This window comes from Homo sapiens, chromosome 10 (genome assembly GCF_000001405.40).
Source record: "Homo sapiens chromosome 10, GRCh38.p14 Primary Assembly".
Classification (NCBI taxonomy): domain Eukaryota; kingdom Metazoa; phylum Chordata; class Mammalia; order Primates; family Hominidae; genus Homo; species Homo sapiens.
In genome coordinates, this window is record NC_000010.11 from 644,298 (window position 1) to 670,532 (window position 26,235).

At 48.3% G+C, this 26,235-nt stretch overlaps 2 protein-coding genes and 1 long non-coding RNA gene across 11 annotated transcripts in view, besides 2 other annotated features; 1 reads left to right on the forward strand and 2 right to left on the reverse strand.

Moving 5' to 3' along the window:
- LOC124902361 (uncharacterized) overlaps positions 1 to 10,135 on the reverse strand; it is a 29,261-nt gene extending 19,126 nt beyond the window's left edge. The window contains exon 1 of the mRNA XM_047426106.1: positions 1 to 10,135. This exon is cut by the window's left edge and continues 19,126 nt beyond it. Coding sequence (XP_047282062.1) covers positions 2,620 to 4,374 — 1,755 coding nt within the window. The 5' untranslated portion in view covers positions 4,375 to 10,135 and the 3' untranslated portion in view covers positions 1 to 2,619.
- Positions 1 to 26,235, reverse strand: part of DIP2C (disco interacting protein 2 homolog C) — a 415,468-nt gene that overhangs the window by 370,097 nt on the left and 19,136 nt on the right. The gene's annotated exons all lie outside the window — the stretch shown is intronic.
- Positions 5,738 to 25,278, forward strand: DIP2C-AS1 (DIP2C antisense RNA 1). 5 transcript variants are annotated; one of them, NR_187391.1, is made up of 4 exons: positions 5,738 to 5,881; positions 5,994 to 6,145; positions 17,729 to 17,821; positions 18,494 to 25,278. It is a non-coding gene; the product is annotated as a DIP2C antisense RNA 1 (long non-coding RNA). The 5 variants fall into 5 exon arrangements; NR_187390.1 differs by having other exon boundaries at positions 5,738 to 6,145; NR_187392.1 differs by lacking the exons at positions 17,729 to 17,821; positions 18,494 to 25,278 and adding an exon at positions 6,491 to 8,358.
- Positions 6,239 to 7,061: an enhancer, noted in NCBI's record as "H3K27ac-H3K4me1 hESC enhancer chr10:696476-697298 (GRCh37/hg19 assembly coordinates)". NCBI's record gives its function as "activates a minimal SCP1, AML or CMV promoter by ChIP-STARR-seq in naive H9 embryonic stem cells {active_cell/tissue: H9 hESC(naive)}" and the evidence as "EXISTENCE:reporter gene assay evidence [ECO:0000049][PMID:30033119]".
- Positions 19,686 to 20,213: an enhancer, noted in NCBI's record as "H3K4me1 hESC enhancer chr10:709923-710450 (GRCh37/hg19 assembly coordinates)". NCBI's record gives its function as "activates a minimal SCP1, AML or CMV promoter by ChIP-STARR-seq in naive H9 embryonic stem cells {active_cell/tissue: H9 hESC(naive)}" and the evidence as "EXISTENCE:reporter gene assay evidence [ECO:0000049][PMID:30033119]".

Genomic DNA, 26,235 nt, shown 5'->3' on the forward strand with positions numbered 1-26,235 from the left:
CAGAAACTCCTGACTAATTAAACCCTGACAGCAACTCTGTTTAGTGAATTGTCTCCTGGTCACTAAGAAGAGTGAAGCTGTTGAAAGCCTACAGCCAACCCTCTGGATAATAGTTGAGACGTATTTTAGAGAAGGAAACGATCCCATCACAATCCCAGACTTGCCCACAGCTGCAGGCGCGTCCTGGGAGCGCGGCTTCTTGCTCTGTCAGCAACACGGCCCGCCGTAGAGCCACACGGGTTCTGCCTGACGCCCCCACTTCAGGGAGTCTGGGCAGGTGCAGCTGAAACAACGTCCGGGGGCAACCCCCACCCCCACTTCTCAAAAGTACACACAGAGGCAGACAGAATGAAACACGGCCCCCAAATCTCAGACGTAGGGTTCAGCAACACGGCCCACCATAGAGCCACATGGGCTCTGCCCAATGCCCCCACTTCAGGGAGCCTGGGCAGGTCCAGCTGAAACAGCATCTAGGGGGCAACCCTGCCCCTACTTCTCAAAAGTACATGCAGAGGCAGACAGAATGAAACACGGCCCCTGGGCCTCAGACATACAATTTAGCACCAGCATCTGTGAAACAAGAACAAAAGTCGCATGGGAAAGTGAGCATAAAAATGAAAAAATAACCGAATTACAGTGAAGATGGATGAGATGGGGAGGACTGTGAGGAAGGTGAGAAAGGGACTGAGGACCTGAAGAGGCACCTAAAAGCTGGATGTTCCCGACAAGACAAGAAAGACCCCTCCGGATGAGGTGGGACATCATCTTCATCATGGAAATAAAGGGGAAAAGCCTGAAAACATCAGTTTCCTACCATGAAGCAAAAATCAAACTGGCCTCAGACTTCTCCTCTACAACACTGGATTCCAAAAGATGAGGACATGGCATCCGTGGGGTCTTGAGGGAGAGCTGGCATGAACGTTCCAGAGCTGAGTCTCCAGAAGCAGCCAAAACAGCCTCAGATCCAGCAGAGTCTTGTCTTGAAAAGTCTATCAGAGTACACCCCCTTATCAAAGTGGCACACGGCTGCAGGGGGTGTGGTGTAAGGTGATTTAGAAATCCTTCTCCATGCAGACCCTAAACTTGGGAGGCCACTGGTCACACCCTGGCCACACACCTCAGCCAGCAGGAAGCCCTGTGCCTCCTCTCTGCTCCATCTCTAACGCCAAGAAACATTTTACTCATAAAATTATGTTATTTCCCATCTGTTAAATTGTATATATTAAGTCCATAAAGAGACCAAGAGAATGTATAAAAACATTGATGACTTGATGGTGGTATTATAAGTAATTTTTAAACAAAACATGTTGTCTAAATTTTCCAGAATGAAAAAATACTCTTTTTAACAAGAAAGGTGCTTTTAAAGTCACTGTAAACAATTATATACCCATCCTATGAACGTGGTCTTAAAAAGCAAACAGCAAAAACAGAAGGAAGTGCATGAATATGTTGATAACGTTTATCTCTGAATGGGGGGGGCTATTTTGCCTATTTCCCTAGGTTTGACGTGTCACTTCTGTAATGTAATAATAGAGCAAACACAATAGTTCAGGAAACACTGCTGACCACTAGGACATAAACCCTGTCTCCCCCAAAATGCTGCGTCCCCCGACCTCTGATTTTATCTTTTAAATCAGCTAAGTTTTCTCCCCTAAAAAGAAGCATATTGTATCATTACTCTTTAAATTTAGGTGAGTTAACAGGCACACAGACTTAAACACTTTCTGGAAAGGTGATGTGTAGAGTTTAAGATTTATTTTGTTCTGAGAAGAGCAGGGGCACGTTCCCAGGTGAGGGGCCTCCAGGAAACACTGGCTGTGTCAGCTGGGCCCTCACCTGGAGAAACGCATGCTCGAGGCCTCCACTCTCCACCCAGCCCCAGCAGGAATGTGGTGCAGAGCTGACGACAGGCCCATCTATAAAAACCCCAAGGGCTGTTTCCAGGAGCGACTCACTGCCCCGTGCCCCCCGCACCCTGTCCCCCTGTGCAGGTACTGGAGCTGCTGTCCAGCCTCCCCCAGGCTCTCCACACCCACACTCCACGCCTCCTTCCACCCCACGCCAACCTGCACCACCCAACTCCCCACTGTCTCTTACTGACCACCCGCCTCGACTCCCCCATAGCCTGGAAACTGCAAAGCTGCCTGGCAGCAAGAGGGGACGGGTGGCGACCGCACCAGCCAGGTAGCACCTGCTCCTGCCGGCCTGCAGGATCACAGGGCCTGCCTCATGGAGCCGTCTTTAAGCACAAGTACAGTGAGAAATCAATGCAGCTTTAGTTTTACTTTGCTGTTAAATTAATTTTATAACACTTGGCTATAACGTACATTAATTTTTATAGCAATTACTAAAATAACAACTCATAATGCATTCATTCACCATATTAAGCCAAGCAACTGAAAAACCAAACACACAAGCAGAATTTTATAGGACTGTAGTAGTTTTTGTTAGGCTGTCAAATTATTTTAAGCTCAAAATTAAAGTAATTAAATCTGTGACTCTCAACTGGGGGAGGTGGGCACACACAGAGTGTGGAAGTGAAAATCCTTTTTTTCTTCCAAACCTCACACAGACTCGGTTGGTAATTTCCATTGCTAGAATTATGTTCTGTTCCTTAGGTTAAAAACAACTGCCTTCATACCTATTAAAAACAATGTTTCTTCCTTTCCTGAGTGAAAGTGAAATGAGCCATGGTGGCAAGCTGGGCGAGAACAGAGGGAAACTGAGTCCATGTCCACATTTGACAGTAGGAGAGAACAGAGGGAAACTGAGTCCACGTCCACATTTGACGGTGGGAGAGAACAGAGGGAAACTGAGTCCACGTCCACATTTGACGGTGGGAGAGAACAGAGGAAAACTGAGTCCACATCCACATTGGACGGTGGGAGAGAACAGAGGGAAACTGAGTCCACGTCCACATTTCACAGTGGGAGAGAACAGAGGGAAACTGAGTCCACGTCCACATTGGACGGTGGGAGAGAACAGAGGGAAACTGAGTCCACGTCCACATTGGACGGCGGGAGAGAACAGAGGGAAACTGAGTCCACGTCCACATTGGACGGCGGGAGAGAACAGAGGGAAACTGAGTCCACGTCCACATTGGATGGTGGGAGAGAACAGAGCGAAATTGAGTCCACATCCACATTGGATGGTGGGCGAGAACAGAAGGAAACTGAGTCCACGTCCACATTGGACGGTGGGCGAGAACAGGGAAACTGAGTCCACGTCCACATTGGATGGTGGGAGAGAACAGAGGGAAACTGAGTCCACGTCCACATTTGACGGTGGGAGAGAACAGAGGGAAACTGAGTCCACGTCGACATTGGATGGTGGGAGAGAACAGAGGGAAACTGAATCCACGTCCACATTGGATGGTGGGAGAGAACAGAGGGAAACTGAGCCCACGTCCACACTGGATGGTGGGAGAGAACAGAGGGAAACTGAGTCCACGTCCACATTGGATGGTGGGAGAGAACAGAGCAAAACTGAGTCCACGTCCACATTGGATGGTGGGAGAGAACAGAGGGAAACTGAGTCCACGTCCACATTTGACGGTGGGAGAGAACAGAGGGAAACTGAGTCCACGTCGACATTGGATGGTGGGAGAGAACAGAGGGAAACTGAATCCACGTCCACATTTGATGGCGGGAGAGAACAGAGGGAAACTGAGTCCACATCCACATTGGACGGTGGGAGAGAACAGAGGGAAACTGAGTCCACGTCCACATTTGACGGTGGGAGAGAACAGAGGGAAACTGAGTCCACGTCCACATTGGACGGTGGGCGAGAACAGATGGAAACAGTCCACGTCCACATTGGACGGTGGGCGAGAACAGAAGGAAACTGAGTCCACGTCCACATTGGACAGTGGGCAAGAACAGAGGGAAACTGAGTCCACGTCCACATTGGACAGTGGGCGAGAACAGAGGGAAACAGTCCAAGTCCACATTGGACGGTGGGCGAGAACAAAGGGAAACTGAGTCCACATCCACATTGGATGGTGGGAGAGAACAGAGCAAAACTGAGTCCACGTCCACATTGGATGGTGGGAGAGAACAGAGCAAAACTGAGTCCACGTCCACACTGGATGGTGGGCGAGACCAGAAGGAAACTGAGTCCACGTCCACATTTCACAGTGGGAGAGAACAGAGGCAAACTGAGTCCACGTCCACATTTGATGGTGGGAGAGAACAGAGGGAAACTGAGCCCACATCCACATTGGATGGTGGGCGAGAACAGAGGGAAACTGAGTCCACGTCCACATTTGAGGGTGGGCAAGAACAGAGGGAAACTGAGTCCACGTCCACATTTGAGGGTGGGTGAGAACAGAGGGAAACTGAGTCCACGTCCACATTGGATGGTGGGAGAGAACATAGGGAAACTGAGTCCACGTCCACATTGGACGGTAGGAGAGAACAGAGCGAAACTGAGTCCACGTCCACAGTGGACAGTGGGCGAGAACAGAGGGAAACTGAGTCCACGTCCACATTTGACGGTGGGAGAGAACAGAGGGAAACTGAGTCCACGTCCACATTTGACGGTGGGCGAGAACAGAGGAAAACTGAGTCCACGTCAACATTTGAGGGTGGGAGAGAACAGAGGGAAACTGAGTCCACGTCCACATTGGATGGTGGGAGAGAACAGAGGCAAACTGAGTCCACGTCCACATTTGATGGTGGGAGACAACAGAGGGAAACTGAGCCCACATCCACATTTGAGGGTGGGTGAGAACAGAGGGAAACTGAGTCCACGTCCACATTGGATGGTGGGAGAGAACATAGGGAAACTGAGTCCACGTCCACATTGGACGGTGGGAGAGAACAGAGCGAAACTTAGTCCACGTCCACAGTGGACGGTGGGCGAGAACAGAGGGAAACTGAGTCCACGTCCACATTTGACGGTGGGAGAGAACAGAGGGAAACTGAGTCCACGTCCACATTTGATGGTGGGCGAGAACAGAGGAAAACTGAGTCCACGTCAACATTTGAGGGTGGGAGAGAACAGAGGGAAACTGAGTCCACGTCCACATTGGATGGTGGGAGAGAACAGGGAAACTGAGTCCACGTCCACATTTGAGGGTGGGAGGGAACAGAGGGAAACTGAGTCCAGGTCCACATTTGATGGTGGCTTTTAATGCACTGCAGGGTGTGTCCCCTTGACCTTCACGAATTTTCAGGTAGTAAGAAAGCAATTTTTCTTATTGGAAAGGAGAAAACTAAGTGACTGTAAAATAATATAATTTCCTTAAAGCAAAACAACAGAGAACCAACTTTTCCTTTTTTCACATTACCCAATAATTCTAAGACTCAGGGTTTTGTCACGTTACAGCAAATGCCATTCATTGGGGGAAGTCGGAAGTCAGAACAGTGTGTGCTATTCAAATTCTCGATGAATAATTAACTCAAATGTGTTCAGAGTGCTATAAAATGAAATTAATTTATTTTTAGTTTAACCCAAAATCCCCAATCACTTGCCAAATGATCCTCTATGTATCCTACATAAAAGACAGGGTCTTTCTGGCAGAAAACCATTGAAGTTTTTATTTGCAGTAAGAGAAGCATGCCTTATTATCAAACAGGTGCATGGTCCCCTTGTGGGGGGGTGCCCGTCACCTGCGTCCCCGTGCGTCACGGCGTTGCCGCACACCATTAACACATCAAAACGGAAAAGGAAATGTAAGCAGTGTTTGCCGTCCAAAGTTCACATCAACAATTCCTTATTAGGAAGGCAATTCTGAGCCTTTCCTCCTGCATCTGGGAGCTGCCAGCAACCCAGTTCCAGGAGAGAAAATAGCTTGACACCTCCTGCGGCCCATGGAGTCCTCCCGTTGGGACAAGGACCCCCCAGGAGAGAGAAGACCCCAGCAGAGTCAACACTGGAGGTCCTGCGGGGTGGGTGGTGCTGGGGAGGCCACACGGGGAGGGCTGTTCCCTGTTCCCTTCCCCTCAGGAGACAGCTGGCCCGAGGTGACACAGCACTGGATGCGATTTCAGGGCCAGGGACCATGGTGCCCGGGGCTGTGGACCACGCCAGCCCACAGCCACTGCAAGCCCCAGACCGGGGCTGTGGATAACGCCAGCCCACGGCAGCCACACGCCCCAGACCAACACGAGAAGAACGCAGGCCGACAACATCTTCATCTATGGTAGGTGACCCGGTTATCGTTCCTAAGAGAGTCCACGGCCACTTCTACTGGGTTCCCTATACTCTTCCCCTGCCCCAGCTGGTCCCCCCATGACAGCCGTGTCCCTGAGAATGGGATGCAGAGCCAGGAGGGACGTGGGCCCCTTCAGTTTGCAGGGGCTGCCAGGCAGCACCTTCCACCTGCCGAGGGCCGGAGGCGGGGAAGCCATTCCACAGCACGTGAGCTGGCAAGGGGCCTCCCAGCCTTAGAGCCCAGATGGCTTCTGGCCAGAGTGCTCTGGGCCGACCCCCCCTCATGCTCACTTCCCTGCATAAGTTTAAGTTGTTTTCTGTAATTTGCAACCAGAATCCTGGCTGATCCACCATGGAACCCAGATGTCCTCAGTTCTGCCTCAGCCCCCACTTGTGAGAGGTCCGTGGCATAACACAAACTCCCCCTGGGATTCGTGGGCCTCACGGGGGAAGCTGAGGGTGTGTCCATGCAGGACCCCGAGGCTACACAGCTCTGGCTGTTTCTCTTCCAAAGCCGGCACTGCCCTCTCTCCATCTCTCCCGGTGCCAGGGCTCAGGCCCCAGCCCCCGTTTCTGCAGAAGCCCCTTTCCATCCTAGCCCCTGCCACCCCTCCTGCTCTTGTCTCTCCCACACCTCCCAAACTCTCTCCTGGCCAGCTCTCGCCACACTCAGTCAATGTCCACTGGGGGCCTCAGGGGCACCTCCACCTGCCCAGGTCTGGGACCACCGTCCTCCACGCATATCTACAGACCCTGTCCTCACCTGCATCACACCAATGATGGCGTCACAGCGTGGGTTCCGGTCACCAGTCGGCCTCCCCCACCAACGTGGACTCCTTACAAGCAGAGCCACCAACGTGGACACGATCCCATCAGGAACCACCTACTTTTGCATCCCCAGCACTGTGCTCAGGTCCCAGGGAGGCCCCAGCAAACTGTGGAACAACCAAACTCGTGACTGAATGAACAAGTATGTTAAGTCGTTAAGTAAAAATAGCAGAAGACTTAGTAGAATGTATGAGTAACAATTACAATTATATGAAAATCCGTATCCACGTGAAGGTATTATGCAAAAAAAGCTTAACTTTGTTTCAGTGCCTTTCCAGTTAAATGTTGTTAAGCAGTATTTCCCCCAAAAGGTGCATCTTTTATAAAACAAGAACGCAAGGCTCTGAGGCCAACTTTGAACATTTATTTGAGTGAATTCACGTCCCCCAAATTTTCCGTATCCCAAAATCTGGACTTTTGCTAAATGGTGCCCTTAGCACAGGAGTCTCTCCAAGGAAGTGGCCTGAGCTGAGAGGGGGCCTGGCATCGCCCACCCAGGTCATCAGTCATCATCAGCAGCAGCTGCGGCATGAGAGAGATGGTGTGGGGCGAAACCAATGGGGAAACTACAAAAGAAACCACCTGCTACTGCAAACGGCCTCGCTGTACTCAGGGAGTCGGTTCCAGGACCCCATGGACACCAAATCCAGGCACACTCACGCCCCACAAGTGGACCTGCCGAACCTGCGTGTACAGAGTCGGCCCTCCGACACACGTTTCACATGGCAGGAACACTGTATTTTCTCCCTGAGTTTGGTTGAAAAAATTCACATATAAGTTGACCCACAAAGCTCAAGCTTGTGTGGTACAAGAGTCAACTGTATGCAATTGACACTGATTCCTACCAACGATATCCAAATCTTAGCATGAGCAGCACGATAAACAGAATGAGCAAAATTCAAAAACTAAAGCAGCGTTTTTCCTGCAAGTGGGCGCACTGCGTATCCCCTGCGGGAAAGACCACGCTGGCTGCTGACCAAACTCCACTGGCATCTTCCTCCATCCTGAGGGCATCTTCCTCGGCATCTTCCTCCATCGACAGCAGCCTGGGCTCACCTCCCAGCCCGAGGCTGAGAACTGAGTTCCAGTCCCGGGGTGGGGTGGCGGGGGGGCGCACTGTGCACCCTCCCAGCTCTCCTCCACCCCTTCCCTCAGGCTGGCCCAAGAATAGCCTGGACAATCACCTGCTGGGGACACCGGGCTGCCCCTCCTCCGCCCACAGCCTCAGGCCACCTGTCTCATCCGTGACCGAGAAACGGAGCTGCAGTGGGAGGCGGGACATGCTGGGATCTACCCATGGCCAGGCCAAGCTGCGCCAATCACTCAAGCTTCACTTTGATCACTTGCTCTACCAAATAAAACAGAACAAAATAACACCATGTCCTCCTTTCCACACACTCCCAAGCCTCCCATCCCACTTCCCGGTGCTGACCCCATGAGAACACTTTGTGCGTCTTTCTAGGTATTTTCTATCCTCCTCAAGCACAGAACCGCACGCAGAGTGATTTTTTTTTTTTTAAACAGAAATGGCACCAGGGCAGATGATGATTTTTTGTACCATTTCTTGACTTTCTTGGGCATTTTCCACACCAGGACAGATGGACCCTGCTCTCCTTCCTCCCCGCCCACAGCTACCTCGCAGCAGCCACACACTGAGCCATAAACCCTCGCAAGACTGTGGGCATCTCAAGGTGCCCCACGTCCCCAAAGACCAAGGGGTCACAGCTCCACATTGTCCAACAACACTTCAGACGCGGCCTCGAGCCTGGAAGCCCTCCTGGCCAGCCCAGACCAGCCCCAGAACAGAGGTGTGAGGGGTGACGTCTGTACTGCCTTAAAAAAAAAAAAAGCAGATATTCAATGCCACATTTAAAATGGTCATGGCAGCCAGGCACAGTGGCTCATGCCTATAATGCCAGCACTTTGGGAGGCCAAGGTGGGCAGATCACTTGAGGTCAGGAGTTTGAGACCAGCCTGGCCAACACAGTGAGACCCCGTCTCTACTAAAAATACAAAATTAGCTGGGCATGGTGGCGGGTGCCTGTAATCCCAGCTACTCGGGAGGCTGAGACACAAGAACTGCTTGAACCCTGGAAGTGGAGGTTGCAGTGAGCTGAGATCACACCACTGCACTCCAGCCGGGGTGACAGAGCGAGACTCTTGTTTCAAAAATAAAAATAAAAAATAATAACAAAAAACAACATATGCATTCCTAGTCCCTTGGAGCCACGGCAACGAAGCTGGCAATATATTTTGGGTGTTTAAAATCAATGCTTTACATGAGCTACGCTGCAAGTCTCAACCTTGATCCTGCTACAGTAATCATCCACTACAAATTAAAACAAGAGCCATAACTGTCTCCTACTAAAATATTCTAATTGAGACATACTAACAGAATACATTTCTTTGGGTGAGAAAGTCTCCACCAGGGTGGGGAACAGACGGCCCACCAATTGTGCTGTGGCCCTAACCTCCGAGGACTCAGCAATCATCCACAGCAAGGCTGGTGACTCGAACACTAAATTGCTCTTTGACATTAATTCTTAAACCTTGAGAAACCAAAGTTCTCTTTGTAACAGACTTGAGAAAGACACTCAGAAGAGACGCACCAACTCTTACCTGGGAGAGACACCCTTGCTAATCATGTCTGGATTAATGGATGCACTAAAAGCATCTCTTCCAACTGGGACACAGACTGCAAACAGGAACACCACGAATACCTTCCCCAAATTACCCAGTCCTGACCCATCCACCCCTCAGGAGGTCCCCAGCCAAGTCCAATAAGGAAATGACCCCACAGCAGATGCACGCACAGGCAGTGAGGGCAGTGGCGTCAGGGAATTCTGCTCCATAAACCTTGGCAGCACGCAGGGAGGTGCATTTCTCCTTATCAGACGCTGCCGGAGATTGGTAGTGACGCTTTCATTCTTCACAGCTGCTATCTGATCTCATGCTAATCAGTGTTTTTCTGACAACAAAGTCAAGGTTTCTCAGAAGAGACTGCCAGATGAAAGAATGGGACAAAAGACAGAAGCCCGTTTCTGTACCCAGCTGGACAGGTGAAGTCATTTAGGTGCAGGATGATCTGGCCATTCCAAATATGCACGGCTTTCCAATTTTGTTAAAATGAAACCCAGCCTTTGAAAAGGCCCGGACTTCCTACAATGCACAGTATTTATAGCGTGGAGGGCACTGTAGAGACGTCATCAGTGTATTCACAACAGCAAGATCCACGGAGGCTCTGCCATGTGCCAGGCATGAGACAACTGTTTACAGAAAACATCTCATTTCATCCTACACAGAGTATACAGACTGCTTCACAGAACACTACCAAAGAGGACCATCAAATGATCCCCAGGAAGTAATGAGTGCCTTAAAAGTAAGAAAGCCAACCTCCTCCCCCTCTTATCTCCCTGTCCTCATTTTCATAGAACTAAAGAAATATGAAGGGCCAGTAACGCCCCACTGAAGAACGCTCTCCTGGTGGTTATACTCTGTAGTATGGAGCACAACACTGCCCCATGCTGCGCGAGGCTACTATTCTATACTACACTACTATGATCGGTTTGTTCTATTCTATACTATTCCATTCTCTACGATACAATATTATACTGTTTCATTCTACACTATATAATACTGTACTATCTGTTCTATTCTATACTATTTTCTTCTATACTGAAAGGAGTTAGCCAGCTTGCTTTAGGCAGACAGTAAGCGAAGGGTCCCAGACAGCCTCCAGCCCATGTTTTGTGCAGATAGGGGAACTTGCTCAGGGGGCTTGCCTAAACATGCTCACAGTAGACTGAGGGTCCCCATACACATGGGGGAATGGGGTGGAGCCACCAGAAATTCGCTCCTTATGCAAACAGGGAGCCCAGCCCCATCAGCTTCTATGTAAAAGCCCTTGTAGTCAACTGGGAAGGGGGCAACCAGCAACCTGCTCTCAGGACCCCTCTTTTTGCTGAGACCTTTCCTTTTCGCTTAATAAATTCTACTGCACTCAGTCTTCGATGTCCATGTGTCTGTTTCTTCCTGGTTGTGAGACAAGAACCCGGACCCAGCTGAGCTAAAGAGCAAAAATCCTGCAGCAGTGCTACAGAACACTGTCCTCTCTGTTCTGTGCTATGCGACTCTACTATTCCACACTACGCTATGTAATAGTCACTGCCATCTCTGTTCTGTGCTATGTGACTCTACTATTCCACACTACGCTACGTAATACTCACTGTCCTCTCTGTTCTGTGCTATGCGACTCTGCTATTCCACACTATGCTATGTAATAGTCACTGTCCTCTCTGTTCTGTGCTTTGCGACTCTACTACTGCACACCATGCTATGTAATATTAATACCATGCTGTGTGTTCTAATCTAGACTACATTATGCTATGCAATACTACGTTGTTAGTTCAACTGTATACTCTACAATACTATCCCACTTGTTCTATTCTAGACTATGTAATACTACTTGTCCTATTGTATACTATACTATATAATGTTACACTGTTTCTTCTATTCTATGCTACCCTATAGAACACTCTACTATTTGTCCCATTGTATACTATACTATATAATGTTACAGTTTCTTCTATTCTATGTTACCCTATAGAACACTCTACTATTTGTCCTATTGTATACTATACTATATGTTACACTATTTCTTCTGTTCTACGCTACCCTATATAACGCTATACTATTTGTCCTATTGTACACTATACTATATAATGTTACACTGTTTCTTCTATGCTACCCTATAGAACACTCTATTTGTCCTATTGTATACTATATATATAATGTTACACTGTTTCATCTATTCTATGCTACCCTATAGAACACTCTATTTGTCCTATTGTACACTATACTATAAGTTACACTGTTTCTTCTATTCTATGTTACCCTATATAACGCTATACTATTTGTCCTATTGTACACTATACTATATAATGTTACACTGTTCCTTCTATGCTACCCTATATAACGCTATACCATTTCTCCTATTGTATACTATACTATATGTTACACTGTTTCTTCTACTCTATGCTACCTTATCGAACACTCTACTATTTGTTCTATTCTGCACTACTCTGTATAATTCTATCCTGTTTGTTCCATTCTATACAGTATCAGGCATCGCTTTACCATGTCCCACTACATAAGAGCAGAGCCAGTTATACTTTCATAATCTCTTTTCCAAGCTCTTACCCAGTGCGGTATTCAAATGTGATGTTTTACTATGCCACACGTAAGTGCACATTTCATGATAATCAATGCCGTTTCCTATGGTTATAGAATTCTGTCTCTATGATTCTATCAATACGGCTTCTTTGGGCTTTTCTGTAAGTCCTTTGCAGTGTCTGATTTCCTAGTGAAAAGATGAGTGAGGTCCCGATAAGATCCTACGAAACCAGCATCCACACAGGCTCACCTGTGTGCACACTGCTGGACTCCGTGTTGAAGGAGTGACAGGAAGACAGACGGCTGTCGGTGAATGGAAGGCAACAAGGACAGAGTAGATTCCAGAACTGAGACAGGTACCAAGGCTCTGGCACAGCTGAGGGTCGATCCCAATTCTAGCCTCTCACAGAAAGGCAGAGGTGACTTAGCACAAAGAGCATGGAACTTTGCTTTAATAAAGCAAATGCTTAACATCCACTGTGAGGAACTCAAGGAGAAATGGCAGTAGGCTCTACTAATAACTACTGCTTTAAAAAATGCAAGGGAGTGGGTACATTTTCACATGGGCCATGTGGAAAGTTGGCTGGACCTGCCACTGGACCTGACACTGGACATGCTGCTGGACTTGCCACTGGACTTGACACTGGACCTGCCCCCGGACCTGCCGCTGGACCTGCCACTGGACCTGCCACTGGACCTGACGCTGGACCTGATGCTGGACCTCTCCCTGGACCTGATGCTGGACCTGCCGCTGGACTTGACCCTGGACCTGCCCCTGGACCTGCCGCTGGACCTGATGCTGGACCTGTCCCTGGACCTGCCCCTGGACCTGCCACTGGACCTGTCCCTGGACCTGCCCCTGGACCTGCCCCTGGACCTGTCCCTGGACCTGCCGCTGGACCTGCCGCTGGACCTGCCACTGGACCTGACCCTGGACCTGCCCCTGGACCTGCCCTTGGACCTGTCCCTGGACCTGTCCCTGGACCTGACGCTGGACCTGATGCTGGACCTGTCCCTGGACCTGCCCCTGGACCTGCCGCTGGACCTGTCCCTGGACCTGACGCTGGACCTGCCGCTAGACCTGTCCCTGGACCTCACACTGGACCTGTCCCTGGACCTGCCCCTGGACCTGCCGCTGGACCTGCCGCTGGACCTGATGCTGGACCTGATGCTGGACCTGCCCCTGGACCTGCCCCTGGACCTGTCCCTGGACCTGCCGCTGGACCTGATGCTGGACCTGACACTGGACCTGCCCCTGGACCTGCCCCTGGACCTGCCGCTGGACCTGACACTGGACCTGCCACTGGACCTGACGCTTGACCTGATGCTGGACCTCTCCCTGGACCTGATGCTGGACCTGCCGCTGGACTTGACCCTGGACCTGCCCCTGGACCTGCCGCTGGACCTGATGCTGGACCTGTCCCTGGACCTGCCCCTGGACCTGCCGCTGGACCTGCCACTGGACCTGTCCCTGGACCTGCCCCTGGACCTGCCCCTGGACCTGTCCCTGGACCTGCCGCTGGACCTGCCGCTGGACCTGCCACTGGACCTGACCCTGGACCTGCCCCTGGACCTGCCCTTGGACCTGTCCCTGGACCTGTCCCTGGACCTGACGCTGGACCTGACACTGGACCTGATGCTGGACCTGTCCCTGGACCTGCCCCTGGACCTGCCGCTGGACCTGTCCCTGGACCTGACGCTGGACCTGCCGCTGGACCTGTCCCTGGACCTCACACTGGACCTGTCCCTGGACCTGCCCCTGGACCTGCCGCTGGACCTGCCGCTGGACCTGATGCTGGACCTGATGCTGGACCTGCCCCTGGACCTGCCCCTGGACCTGTCCCTGGACCTGCCGCTGGACCTGATGCTGGACCTGACACTGGACCTGCCCCTGGACCTGCCCCTGGACCTGCCGCTGGACCTGACACTGGACCTGACCCTGGACCTGCCGCTGGGTCTGCTACTGGACTGCTAACAAATGCTGCAGACCTTTATGGAGAGAAAAGTACAATCCATCTGAGAGCAGCTGTCCCAGCTCTGGATGAAGCCGACAGAATGAGGCAGAGCTGCTGGCATCATTCAGTGGGCAGTCAGTGACCCTCCTTTAAGTCCAGAAAAGCTCAAACTGCATGTCTGCAACTAGAAATACCAATCATTAGCCAGACCTCCTGGCAAATATCACCACTGACCCACTGTAATTCTGTGTGGTGTATTATGTTTCATGTGCAGGAAATCATTCACAAAGCCTTTAACAAGGAAGTATTAACATGACTTTTAATGCAATATAACAGCTTTGCACCCATTTAACATATATTTAACCCCAATGGTATATGTAAATATATATTTTATAGAGCATCAGGCGTGTTTACCTAATGGCTCAAACCTTTAAAATATCTCTCTCCCTGAGAGGACAGCGGAGGATCCCATGCACTCTCTCCAGGAACATGGCCCTCCCAGAGAGGACTCACAAATCAAATGTGCATATGCATGCATGCACAGACACATATCTCACACACACACATGCGCACACACACATACATGCAATACACACATTCACACATGCACACACATTCACATAATCACATTCATAATACCAACATGTAACACATACATGCACATACAACACTCAAACACACATGCATATACATACATGTTCATGCATATACATTCTGGCACACACAAACATATGTAAATGCATACACATAACATGCACACATATACATTTATAACTATATACACAGGAGCATCCACGCATGCATACTTGCACATGTGTGCGATGTCATGCCTAAACATGTAACACATGCACACACATACATACAACACAAATACACATGCACACATATACACATGCATGCATCTGTACAGTACCAAGACACATACATGCACAACACATATACATGCAATACACACTTTCATACACATAAATGCAAACACACATACATATATACACCCCTCAAAGACCCCATTATTCAATTCTATACAAAATGGTTTATCCCCCAAATGTAACTTCTTGTAATTAATAAACTCTACTTTACTGCACATTTCTTGATTTCAAATAATGAGGTCTCACACACAGCACACATACACACATTCATACTCAAATACATGTGAACATACGAATAGAAATAGGCACACATGCCTGAAGACCCTCTTCTGTAAAGGTATTCTCAAACTTGAATTGAACGAATTCTGCTAATTATAGTCAGAGTCAGCAAAGATATATATTTGACCTCGGAATGAATATACTCGTTCTTTTCGTTACCCCTGGCAACAGCAAGAATGTAAAACAGGGTTGTGTGATACGATGCCACTTATTCAATCCCACTTCCCGGGATCTGACCACTTGTAAAAGCGTTTCTGTCTGAGTGATTTCCTTCTGACTAAAATCATGAGATAATTCCTTCCCTTCCTGCTTTCTCTTTCCCAGGCCTTTTTACTACCCTTTCATCATCTCGGAAACTAAATCATAGTTGTCAAAATGGAAGGCAAAGAAACAGCCTTAGGAGAGAATCTCACAGTGGAACGGACCAGAGAGAGGAAAAAATAATCTTTTTGAAAATGTACAAAAGGAAATGTCAAGAGGCCTAGGTTCCCTCTCATGACAGAAACAGACGTCAGCAGAGCAGGTCGCTCAGCCCAGTTCAGCTCTGTGTATGAAACAGAGATTCTAGCCCTTGTCCCTGTTTCAAGCTCTGTGTATGAAACAGAGATTCTAGCCCTTGTCCCTGTTTCAAGCTCTGTGTATGAAACAGAGATTCTAGCCCTTGTCCCTGTTTCAAGTTCTGTGTATGAAACGGAGATTCTAGCCCTTGTCCCTGTTTCAAGCTCTGTGTATGAAACAGAGATTCTAGCCCTTGTCCCTGTTTCAAGCTCTGTGTATGAAACAGAGATCCTAGCCCTTGTCCCTGTTTCAAGTTCTGTGTATGAAACGGAGATTCTAGCCCTTGTCCCTGTTTCAAGCTCTGTGTATGAAATGGAGATTCCAGCCCTTGTCCCTGTTTCAAGCTCTGTGTATGAAACAGATTCTAGCCCTTGTCCCTGTTTCAAGCTCTGTGTATGAAACAGATTCTAGCTCTTGTCCCTGTTTCATGATGTTGCAGTGAAGGAAACGAAACAGACAAAGGGCACAGACTGGAGAAAAGGATTTTAAAAGGATGACTTTTAAAATGTGCACCTGCTTTTCAAGGGCACAATGAGGACTTTTTCAAGCATATTAAAGCTGATTTATAAGAGATGGGTATAAAGACTCTACAAGGTCATTAGACTTTAGGCTTACAAAGAAAACAAATAACATTCTCCTAGCATCAAGAGTCAGGTGTTCCACAAATACTAAGAATAGCCACCGCAACGGGATCCACTATGAGGTGTCAAAACATAACCCATGAAGCGTGGCCGAGAGCTCCTATAACCTGATTTCTAGGAATCTAATTTTAAACATCCTCACAGCTAGCACATCACAAAAATACAGAGCTCCAAATGCCGTAACACAAGTGCTAACAACACCTAGCCAAAAATATACGAGGCATTTCAGGCAAAAATCCCAGAATCAGAAGAACACAAGTTTTGTAAGTCCTTCAAAAGCTGGTGCTGGTTGAGGCTTTTCTGCAGACTTCAACAAAAGACACACTAGAATTAGCCATTGACAGTAACCCTGAGTCAACACGCACAGTGTTGGGAAAAGCACAAGGCCTGCTCCAGGCTTGAGGCCCCTGGGATCTTTCTCTGGACCGCACCGAGTGGATGACTTTGAGAACTCAGAATAACCAACAACCAGTCCCTGAACAGAGAGAGAAGACTGCAGCCTCCCTGGGGACCTGGCTCCATGCCTGCCCCCTTTCTTCCGTGTACCTTTGCCCTTCCTGGCTCCCTCCTCCACCTGGAGACGCTCTGGGTTGAGGCCCCTCCTCAGCTGTGTCTTGGTCCACGGCTGGCTACCCGTGTGAGGCTCCAGGCCTCGAAGGACCATCTCCACCTGCTCCCTGCGCTTCTCACCAGCTTCCGCCGTGACCCCCAGGCTCTGGCTGCTCCCAGGAATCAGGGCCACCAGGCTCCCCTCGCTGCCTCCAGCTGGAGTCCCACCCCCTGGTTTTCAGCAACACTTGGGACTTTGTCCTGGAAACTCTCGGCTCTGGGCTTTAGGGAACTGCACCGTGCAGCTCTTCTCTGGACTCTAAGCAGGGCCTTTTCTGGGTCTTCCGACCCTTCCTCCATTTCCAAATGTGGGCTTTCCTTTGGCCTCCTCTCTCCCGACATGCACACCTCACACTCTGGCTCCTTGACCTGCACTTCTATGTAGGAGGCTCCCAAATCCACCCTGGTCCGGATTTTCCCCAAGCCTCCTTCCATATTTCCAAACTCGCAGCTTGCGGTGGTGTCTCTAAGTATCTCTGAATCAGGTCCACACTTGCTTCTCCTCCTGATTTCCAGCAAAGCACAACGCCGACCTCAGGGTGTAGACTCACAGCTTCATCTGCCTTCCTGCACTCCCTCTTCCCCTCCTGACCCAGGCACTGAATCGCTCAGCTCACTGGCTGCCTTCTCTCCTCCTCTCGCCATGGCGAGTGCCCCGCAGGAGCCTGGCCTGTCCCCCGTGGCTCCACAGCATACCGCACATCAAAGGCACGATTCTCTCCGAAGCCCTCAGTGGCTTCCTAGTATCTGACAGGTAAGGACTTCCACATTCTGACCCCAATCTAACTTTCTGCCCTCAGATAGGCACATGCATATTTTATCTATACACAAAGAGTACAGGCCTCACACCTGCTCTCATTCCTGGGTTCCTAGCTCCTCCTGAAGGTACTGTATGAGGTACCTATGCACTTTCCAAACGCTAAGTGAATACGCACTTGGAGAACACTTGCTTGATAATTTTGTGGCATTGCCAGATAACGCGGACAAAGTGAGAACTACGCAGGTGTATGGATGCTGCCTTGCCCAGACCTCACTCACCCAGACACTCCTGGATGTTCAAGGTGACCAGCCCTATTGGCGCACAGGCAGGCACAGGCTGCACCCCCACAGCTGGGCCCCGCGAGCTGAACGCTAATCATGAAGCAGCTGTGTTTGCTCCTAAATCTGTTTATGCCAGTGTACTTGTTACACATTACTTAAACCAATAAAATATGACTCCAAAGAGAGAGTAATTGATTGGATAAAAACTAAGATGGATGCCTTTCAAAGACTTGATATGGGGGAATTTTTTTTTCTTTTTCATCTTTTTAAAATTGTTATCAAATTAGGTATGGGCAGAAAATATATACAATGTTTGAGGAAATAATTTTTAAAGGTTTCAAATCTAACTTATCTTATTTCTCTTGTGTTGCCTATTCTCTTTTAGAAGAACCAAAACTGTGGCAGGCCTGCGATGGCTGTGGTTGAGGAAAGAGGCCACACCCACAGCCAGCAGAACCACACTCAGCAGCAGCCTAGCCCCACGTGGAAGAGGCGTGAACACTCTCGGGAGAGGTGGATGTACGCTAATGGTTCTCAGCTCCGACCTCTGTGATTAACAGAACATGCTGATTGGTTTTATCTGAACGTCACACAAAAGGGTTTCTATGTCCAGGAAAGACTCTAAACACTCTGGACCCTGCTGGGGCAGATGGTGACCGTGACCCAGTGATACCACTCTCCAGTGGGCAGCCTGGTCTGCAGAGGGGGAGATCCCTGGGGCAGCCCTACCTCAGCATGGGTGAGTTTCTGTTGCAATTCTATGTCCAGTGTAAATAAACTGTGGAAAACTGGGAGATGGTACAAGAAAGCAAGGATGCCAACTAAATGAATAGAAAGATCTACAAGGGAAGGCTGAGATCAGCTGAAATAGGATTGGGAAAGTAAAGGCCTGGCTGGAACTTCGTAATGGCTTTTGAGGCTCGGGAACAGGGACAGTAGCTGCCCTGTCCATCCCAGGAGAGAACAGACGGACATGGCTGGAAAGCACTTCCCTGACTAAAAGTGTCTTTAAAAAGGGAGATCTCAGAATCTCCTTCCCTGGAATGCTTTAACCCTTCATGGAACACAGCAGAAATTCCACAGCCCTGCATCCCAGGAAGCAGGGACAGGACAGCAGCTTCCAGCACACAGAAGCATTTAGAGGCATAAGTAGCTACGCAAAGACAGCAGGAGCCGTGCCTCGAAAAGGCTGAGATGTCTGAGAAATAAAGTTGTACGCGGATTTACGCCTGGGCAGGTTGAAATGCGTGTGCCATGACAGATCCGGAAGCTTGTCTACTCGAAGGTCCACATCCAGGTATGTTTCACAGTCATCACAACTAGATTTTCAGAAATTTAAAACTCCTAATGAAGAAACACAAACCTGCACGTCTCACGCCACCACTTAAGGCAGCGGCTCTCAAGCAGGGGCGATTCTACTGGGAGGAGGGATGCTGATGGCACCAGAGGGTGGGAAGCAGGGATCTGACGCTTAGCACCGCAGGTGCCAAGGACGGCCTCCTCCCCACAAGGGCTCCGGGAGGCCACACCAGAGGGTGGGAGGCAGGGGTGACGCTCAGCACTGCAGGCACCGAGGACAGCCTCCTCCCAGGAGGAAAAAACAAAGACGGGAAAAAACAAAGGCTCCCCACAAGGGCTCCAGGGGGCCACACCAGAGGGTGGGAGGCAGGGGTGACACTCAGCACCGCAGGCACCGAGGACGGCCTCCCACAAAGGCTCCTCTGGGCCAGAGCATCCGTAGTGCCAAGGGGAAAAGCCCGGACACAAAGGATCCAGTGTTTTCAACGTTGCTCAGGGTATCTCCACACAGAAACTCCCATCTGCCTTTTGTGCAAACTCTGGGGTCTTGCAATCGATAAACGTTCACAAGACACAACACGTGAACCTAACAATTCTCTTTTGCTCCAGGAGAGAGAAAAGAAGGAATGGTTTGGGGAGATTCACCGAAATTCTGTGAGTTCTTGACTAAAAATCACCAAGTCCGCTGTGTTCTGTTATCAGCAGTCCTGGGTAGGCCCAGACCCACCTCACCCCCAGCGGGACCCAGGAAAGGCTTTAAACCTCAAACGTCCCTTTTCGTAACACTGGCTGTTTCATGTGGTTAATAAATCATCCAATAAAATGACACACATAAGCCCAGTTATACACTCGACACATTAACACTATTGATCATTGTTATATGTCCGGGTTAATCAACATTACAATGCTACAGAGAAATCATTGGTACTAAGAGTTGTAAGGATGATTTTTTAAAATTTATGTATCTCAATTTTTTATACTGTTACTTTTTACATTTTAAAAAATGTATATTCTGAAATATTTTTGATATTTTAAAATGTTAATGTATCAAGCATTTTAAAATGAACCAAATATATATCTACAAATATATAGGGAATTTTTAAATAAATATCAGGGTAGAAGGAATTAAAACTCCTAACTTAATACTAAATAGACGGGAAAAAACAAAGTAGAGAGTTCTCACAGACTCCTGAAGGAATATATAGTAATAAAGCTCAAAAAGTACATTAAAACCTTTATAACGATGTTTTAATTACCAACTAACAAGAAAATATCTACTGAATCGCGACTAGCAGATACCCAGGTCTGTTCAGCACCTGTACTCTCCCCTAGGTCTGCTGAGGAACAGATCAATTCTGTTGGAGTTGACCTTGAAATTTAAAAAAACAAAACAAAACAAAACAAAAACAGCTTTAAAGATTTAAATTTCCTGAATAAAACAGAAAATAAAAATAACACTTCTGCACCTGTGAGTTCTCTTGACCCTAATTTATTTTTTGCTTTGGATGGTTCATAAAATATACATATATACCTTAACCGTGCTTTATATTATATACTAGTGATTGTTAATTCATTATTAACCTCACTCTACAGCTAAATTCTAACACTAATCATGGTGGCATCATTAGGACATTGTTCTAGGTGGTGCTTTTTTAACTGAAAAGAAAAACGGGGGATAGGTAATAAATAATTATGTAATCTAAAGAAAAAGTTTTAATTGTGTGAGTCCAGTAACGCGATCATCTAGCATGGAAAATATTTTCAGTAGTTCCAGGAAACTTCACATAAGAAACACTAAATAAATTCTAAGTTCAGTATATGAGTTAGAGACATTTCCAAAAGGAAAGCACACACAGTTGGTTGGGAGCGCCTGGATTTTCTCTAGCAAAAGACTCGTGGAATCCATGCTTTCGCCGCCACGTGACGAGGCACACGCGGACTGGGACATCGTCCTCCACCCTCCAGAACCAAACGCTACGCGAAACCACAGCGCCAGATTCCCACACTGGAAAATCCCTGAGCAAAGACTCACGTGACTCCTCCTCAGCCGCTTTCCCAAAACAAAACACATCAATCAAACGAACCCGATGAAATATACGAGATCGAAAGGAAAACAAGAGCCAGGCTTATCTCTTACAGGAACACTCCATAAATCTTACACTGAATTCACTCATCCTTCCACACAATCTGCTGATAAGAGGTAAATAATCAAGTGGAAATCACTCAAAGAAGCGCTTTCCTCCCCCAACAGACGCCGAAGTCTTTGCCGTGGCACTTATGGGGTGCTCTAACTTCTCAGCGCTGGCCGTCACCAACGCAGGCCGGCAGCACCCTGGAAAGGCCCAGGTCCCGCAGCTCTCCCTCCACGCGTGGCTACGGTGGAGGAACGAAGAGCAGCTGTGAGTTCGTGGGAAAGAAGGGCTATCTGGAATAATACGAGTCCGGGTGACATATGTAATTGTGAGTTTTTGTTTTCTCCGAACTGGCCTTATTATTATTAATTATTCCTTCAGCACCTACCGGGAAAGCGAGAAGAAAGCAAAGGGCATCACTCCCTACCCACGAAAGACTCACAACATCCCTGGAAAAGCAACGAGGCGAACGGCTGGTCTGCGTTCAGAGCTGGTGAGGAGCAGGGAGAAGAATCCAGAGCGTCCCCGCCTCCCTCCCTCACCGCCCTCCCGCACTGATGTGAACACGGGAGTAACACCGCGCGTGGGGAATCCACTGGCACCCAGAGCCCGGCCCGCGGCAGCAGAATCACCCAAGACTGAGATCCTGTGGCCTGAGTCGGGGCCGGGGAAACCAAGCCTGCAGGACTCCGGGAGCAGCCGGTTTCTGCACACAGGTAACATAGAACTGGGGGTAAGCAAAGCCACGAGGTCGGCCCGTGGCCTGTCTGCCCGTGGCCTGTCTGCCCGTGGCCTGTCTGCCCGTGGCCTGTCTGCGCACAGCTATTAAAAGTTCAATAAACGTGGTGGCAGCAGCTGAACTGGCTACCACAGGACGCAGCTGGGGTCTGGACGTGGGCCTGGGGGCTGGTGGAAGGCACGTGTGTTGAGGCGTGTACTCAGGGCCTGCCTACTTCCCCAGGCCTACGGGGACAGATGTAGCTCCCCAGGAAATACCACAGGCAGACCCCGGCCGGCAAGCTGCCCCAAGAAGCAGTGCGCCTCCCAAAATCAGAAGCAGCTAAGCTGACCCCCACCTCATGTGAAAGAGCCAGGCACCAGGGAGAGGGCACCCACCCAGTCTCCTAATCATAACAGACATTCACAGCAACACCACGAAAAAGAAACTACTGCTCTGACCTGGAAAAATGAAATTTAAAACAGAAAACACACAGGTTGTAACTAAAAGGCAGACGGACCAGGTGCGGTGGTTCATGCCTGTAATCCCAACACCTTGGAAGGCCGAGGCAGGCGGATGACATGAGGTCAGGAGTTCAAGACCAGCCTGGCCAGCATGGTGAAACCCCATCCCTACTAATAATACAAAAACTAGCCAGACGTGGTGGCAGGCACCTGTAATCCCAGCTACTCAGGACTGGGAGGAGGCGCAGGATGACGACGAGAGAGAGACGAGAGAGGCAGATGGCCCACGGCAGGCTGAGCACAGGACCTGGCTGAGGCCTCCTGGGGAGGGGCAGAGGCAAACATGCTGCTGCTTCTAGGCTACTCGGGAGGACGCACGCTCAGAAGGGGCTGCACGGCAGGACTTGCTGAGGAGCAGTCACGTGGATGCCCCCGCCTCTCACAACGCACACACTGACAACATGCAACTCACATACAACACAACATGCATGTACAATGTACTCATACAACATATACAACACTGACAACACACAACACACACAACACATGCAACCTATACAACACATACCCAATATATGCTACTCACAACACAATATGCATTTATAACACACTCATACAACACATACCCAATGCATGCAACTCACAACACAACACGTACGTACAACACATACACACATACAGCACACGTAACACATACAACACAACACACATGTACAATGCACTCATACAGCACACACAACTCATAACATGCACATACAACACACAACACTCATACAAAACAACATACACAACTCACAACATGCACATACAATGCACTCATACAACACAACACATACAACATACATGCAACTCACAACATACACATACAACACACTCATACAGCACATGTACAACACATGCAACTCACATTCAACACGACATACACGTACCACACACAACACACGCAACTCACAACACAACATGCATGTACAACACTCATACAACACAACACTCATACAACATACAGACAACACATGCAACTCACAACACAACATACACATACAACACACTCATACAACACACACAACACATGCAACTCACGCACAACACAACATGCACAACACAACATACAACATATACAACACAACACTCATACAACATATATGTGTATTGCATACACATAATACATGCAACTCACAACACAACATACACATACAACACACTCATACAACACATGCAACTCACAACACAATATGCACGTACAACACACTCATACAACATACAACATATAACACATACAACATACAACACATGCAACTCAACACAAATACATGTACAAGGCACTCACACAACACACAACACTGATACAACATACAACACATGGAACTCACAAACACGTACAGCACACTCATACAACATACAACCCATACAACATACAATACATGCAACTCATACAACATACACATACAACACTCATACAACACACATTCATACAACACAACACTCATACAACATACAAAACATACAACTCACAAATACATGTACAACACACTCATACAACACATAACACTCAAACATACAATGAATGCAACTCAACACAACATGCACATACAACACACATACAACCCATGCCACTCACATACAACACAACACGCTCATACAACACATTCATACAACACATACTGTACAGATTCTAAGTATGAAATAGAAAACAGCACATGCACAGTTTCTAAAGTATGACAAAAGCTTTTTTCAAGAAGGTCATCCAACATCCAAACTGGTAACATGTCCTCATTTTCAGCTGCTGTTCAGATTCAAGCATGTTTATCATCTGCTCCATGAATTACAATAATATAGCATAAACCCTTTTTTCATTTTACACCCACTTTGGTGTGGGGTGCTCCAAAACAGGGGCCAGGAGCCTCAGTCATCCCTCGGAACAAAACACAACTCACACTCAGAGGCCAGGAAGGGAACTCGGGGGGCGACACACACTCTCTCATCTGCAGAGCTCTGCTTCAATTACTTTACATGTAACCGCGGCTGGAACGGGGTTGGTGACGGTACAGACACGGCAAACTGAGGAGAAATTGGCAGGTGGAGAAAGATCAGCCAGAATCCAAGGAAAAATGCTGAGCATTTTCCACAAATAGTTCACACAACGGACAATAGTTGGGCTACTGAAAGTTTATTGAGAGGGGTCTTGCTCCAAAGAAAAAGTTCTTTCCCAAGGTTATCAAAGACTCACAGCAGACCCCGGCCCCCAACACACCATCTGCAGAGGGCCTGTTAGTCAAAAAGAAGACAAGACAGAAGCAAGGGGGTGCGGGGGGAGGAGAGCAAGAGGGGACCGAGAACTCGGAACCAAGTGATGGGCAGACACTGAATGCCTGACTCCAGGGTTATCGCCTCAGAAAACAAGTCCGTTTAAGCCCGTGGTAACAGTGTTAGCGCTTTCACTGAACCTGCACTCAACACTGGAGAACCTCCCTGCATTATGAAGATGAGCCGAAAAATAACATTAATTCACAATGTAGAGTGATGATTCAGCCACAGAAAATAAAACTGATATAATCCACTACAAGTCACACTGTGTCTTTCTTTAAGACTGGTTTATGATGCAGGTAAGAGGCAGCTTGACATCTAAAATACTTAAACTGGCAAACACCTTGTTTCCCTGAATTCTCACAACTGTGGCACCAGCTAGGGTAAGACCGAGTGGTTTTCAGAGCTTCCAGAACAGCAGAACAGATCAATCATAAATATGCAAAAGTGATCTGAAGACAGAATATTCCACGTTTCAGCTTAAACTAGTCATGTGATTTCCAATAAGTGGGAAACATTCATACCAATGTTTATAAGAAAGTTCAATGTAAACACACAGTACAGAACACTATCTTTGTTTTGGAATTTATTCATTTAATATGACAATTTCCATTGTTTTTAGGGATTCCTGATATCGAATGTTCATCTTTATTAATGATGAGCTACCCATTTTCTGACTGAGGAAACGGAAAGTTGTCACTGCCTAACAGCAATACTCAAAACAGCCTGTATGAAAGGAAAAGGCATATCTGTGCACACACACATGCATACACACACATCCACACGTGTACATATGCTCATACATGTACACGCATACACGTGTACACATATGCACGTGCGCACATGCATGAACATGTACACGTGTGTACATGTGTGCACATGTATGCACACATACGCACACGCATGCATGCACACGCATATGCACACACGTACATGCACATACACGCATGCATATACACACGTACACATGCACACACATACGCACATACATGCATATACACATGCACATGCGCACGCGTACATGCACATACATACACATACACACATGCACACACATGCATGTGTACACGCATACGTAAGTATCATCTCAGGTACGTGGATTCAAAATTCTGATGCAAACAAGAATAATCACAAAACAGGGTAGGGTGTCAACAAGTGAGAATTGAGATGGATGTTCTGGAATGTTCCAGAGACAACATAGGGGGACGGC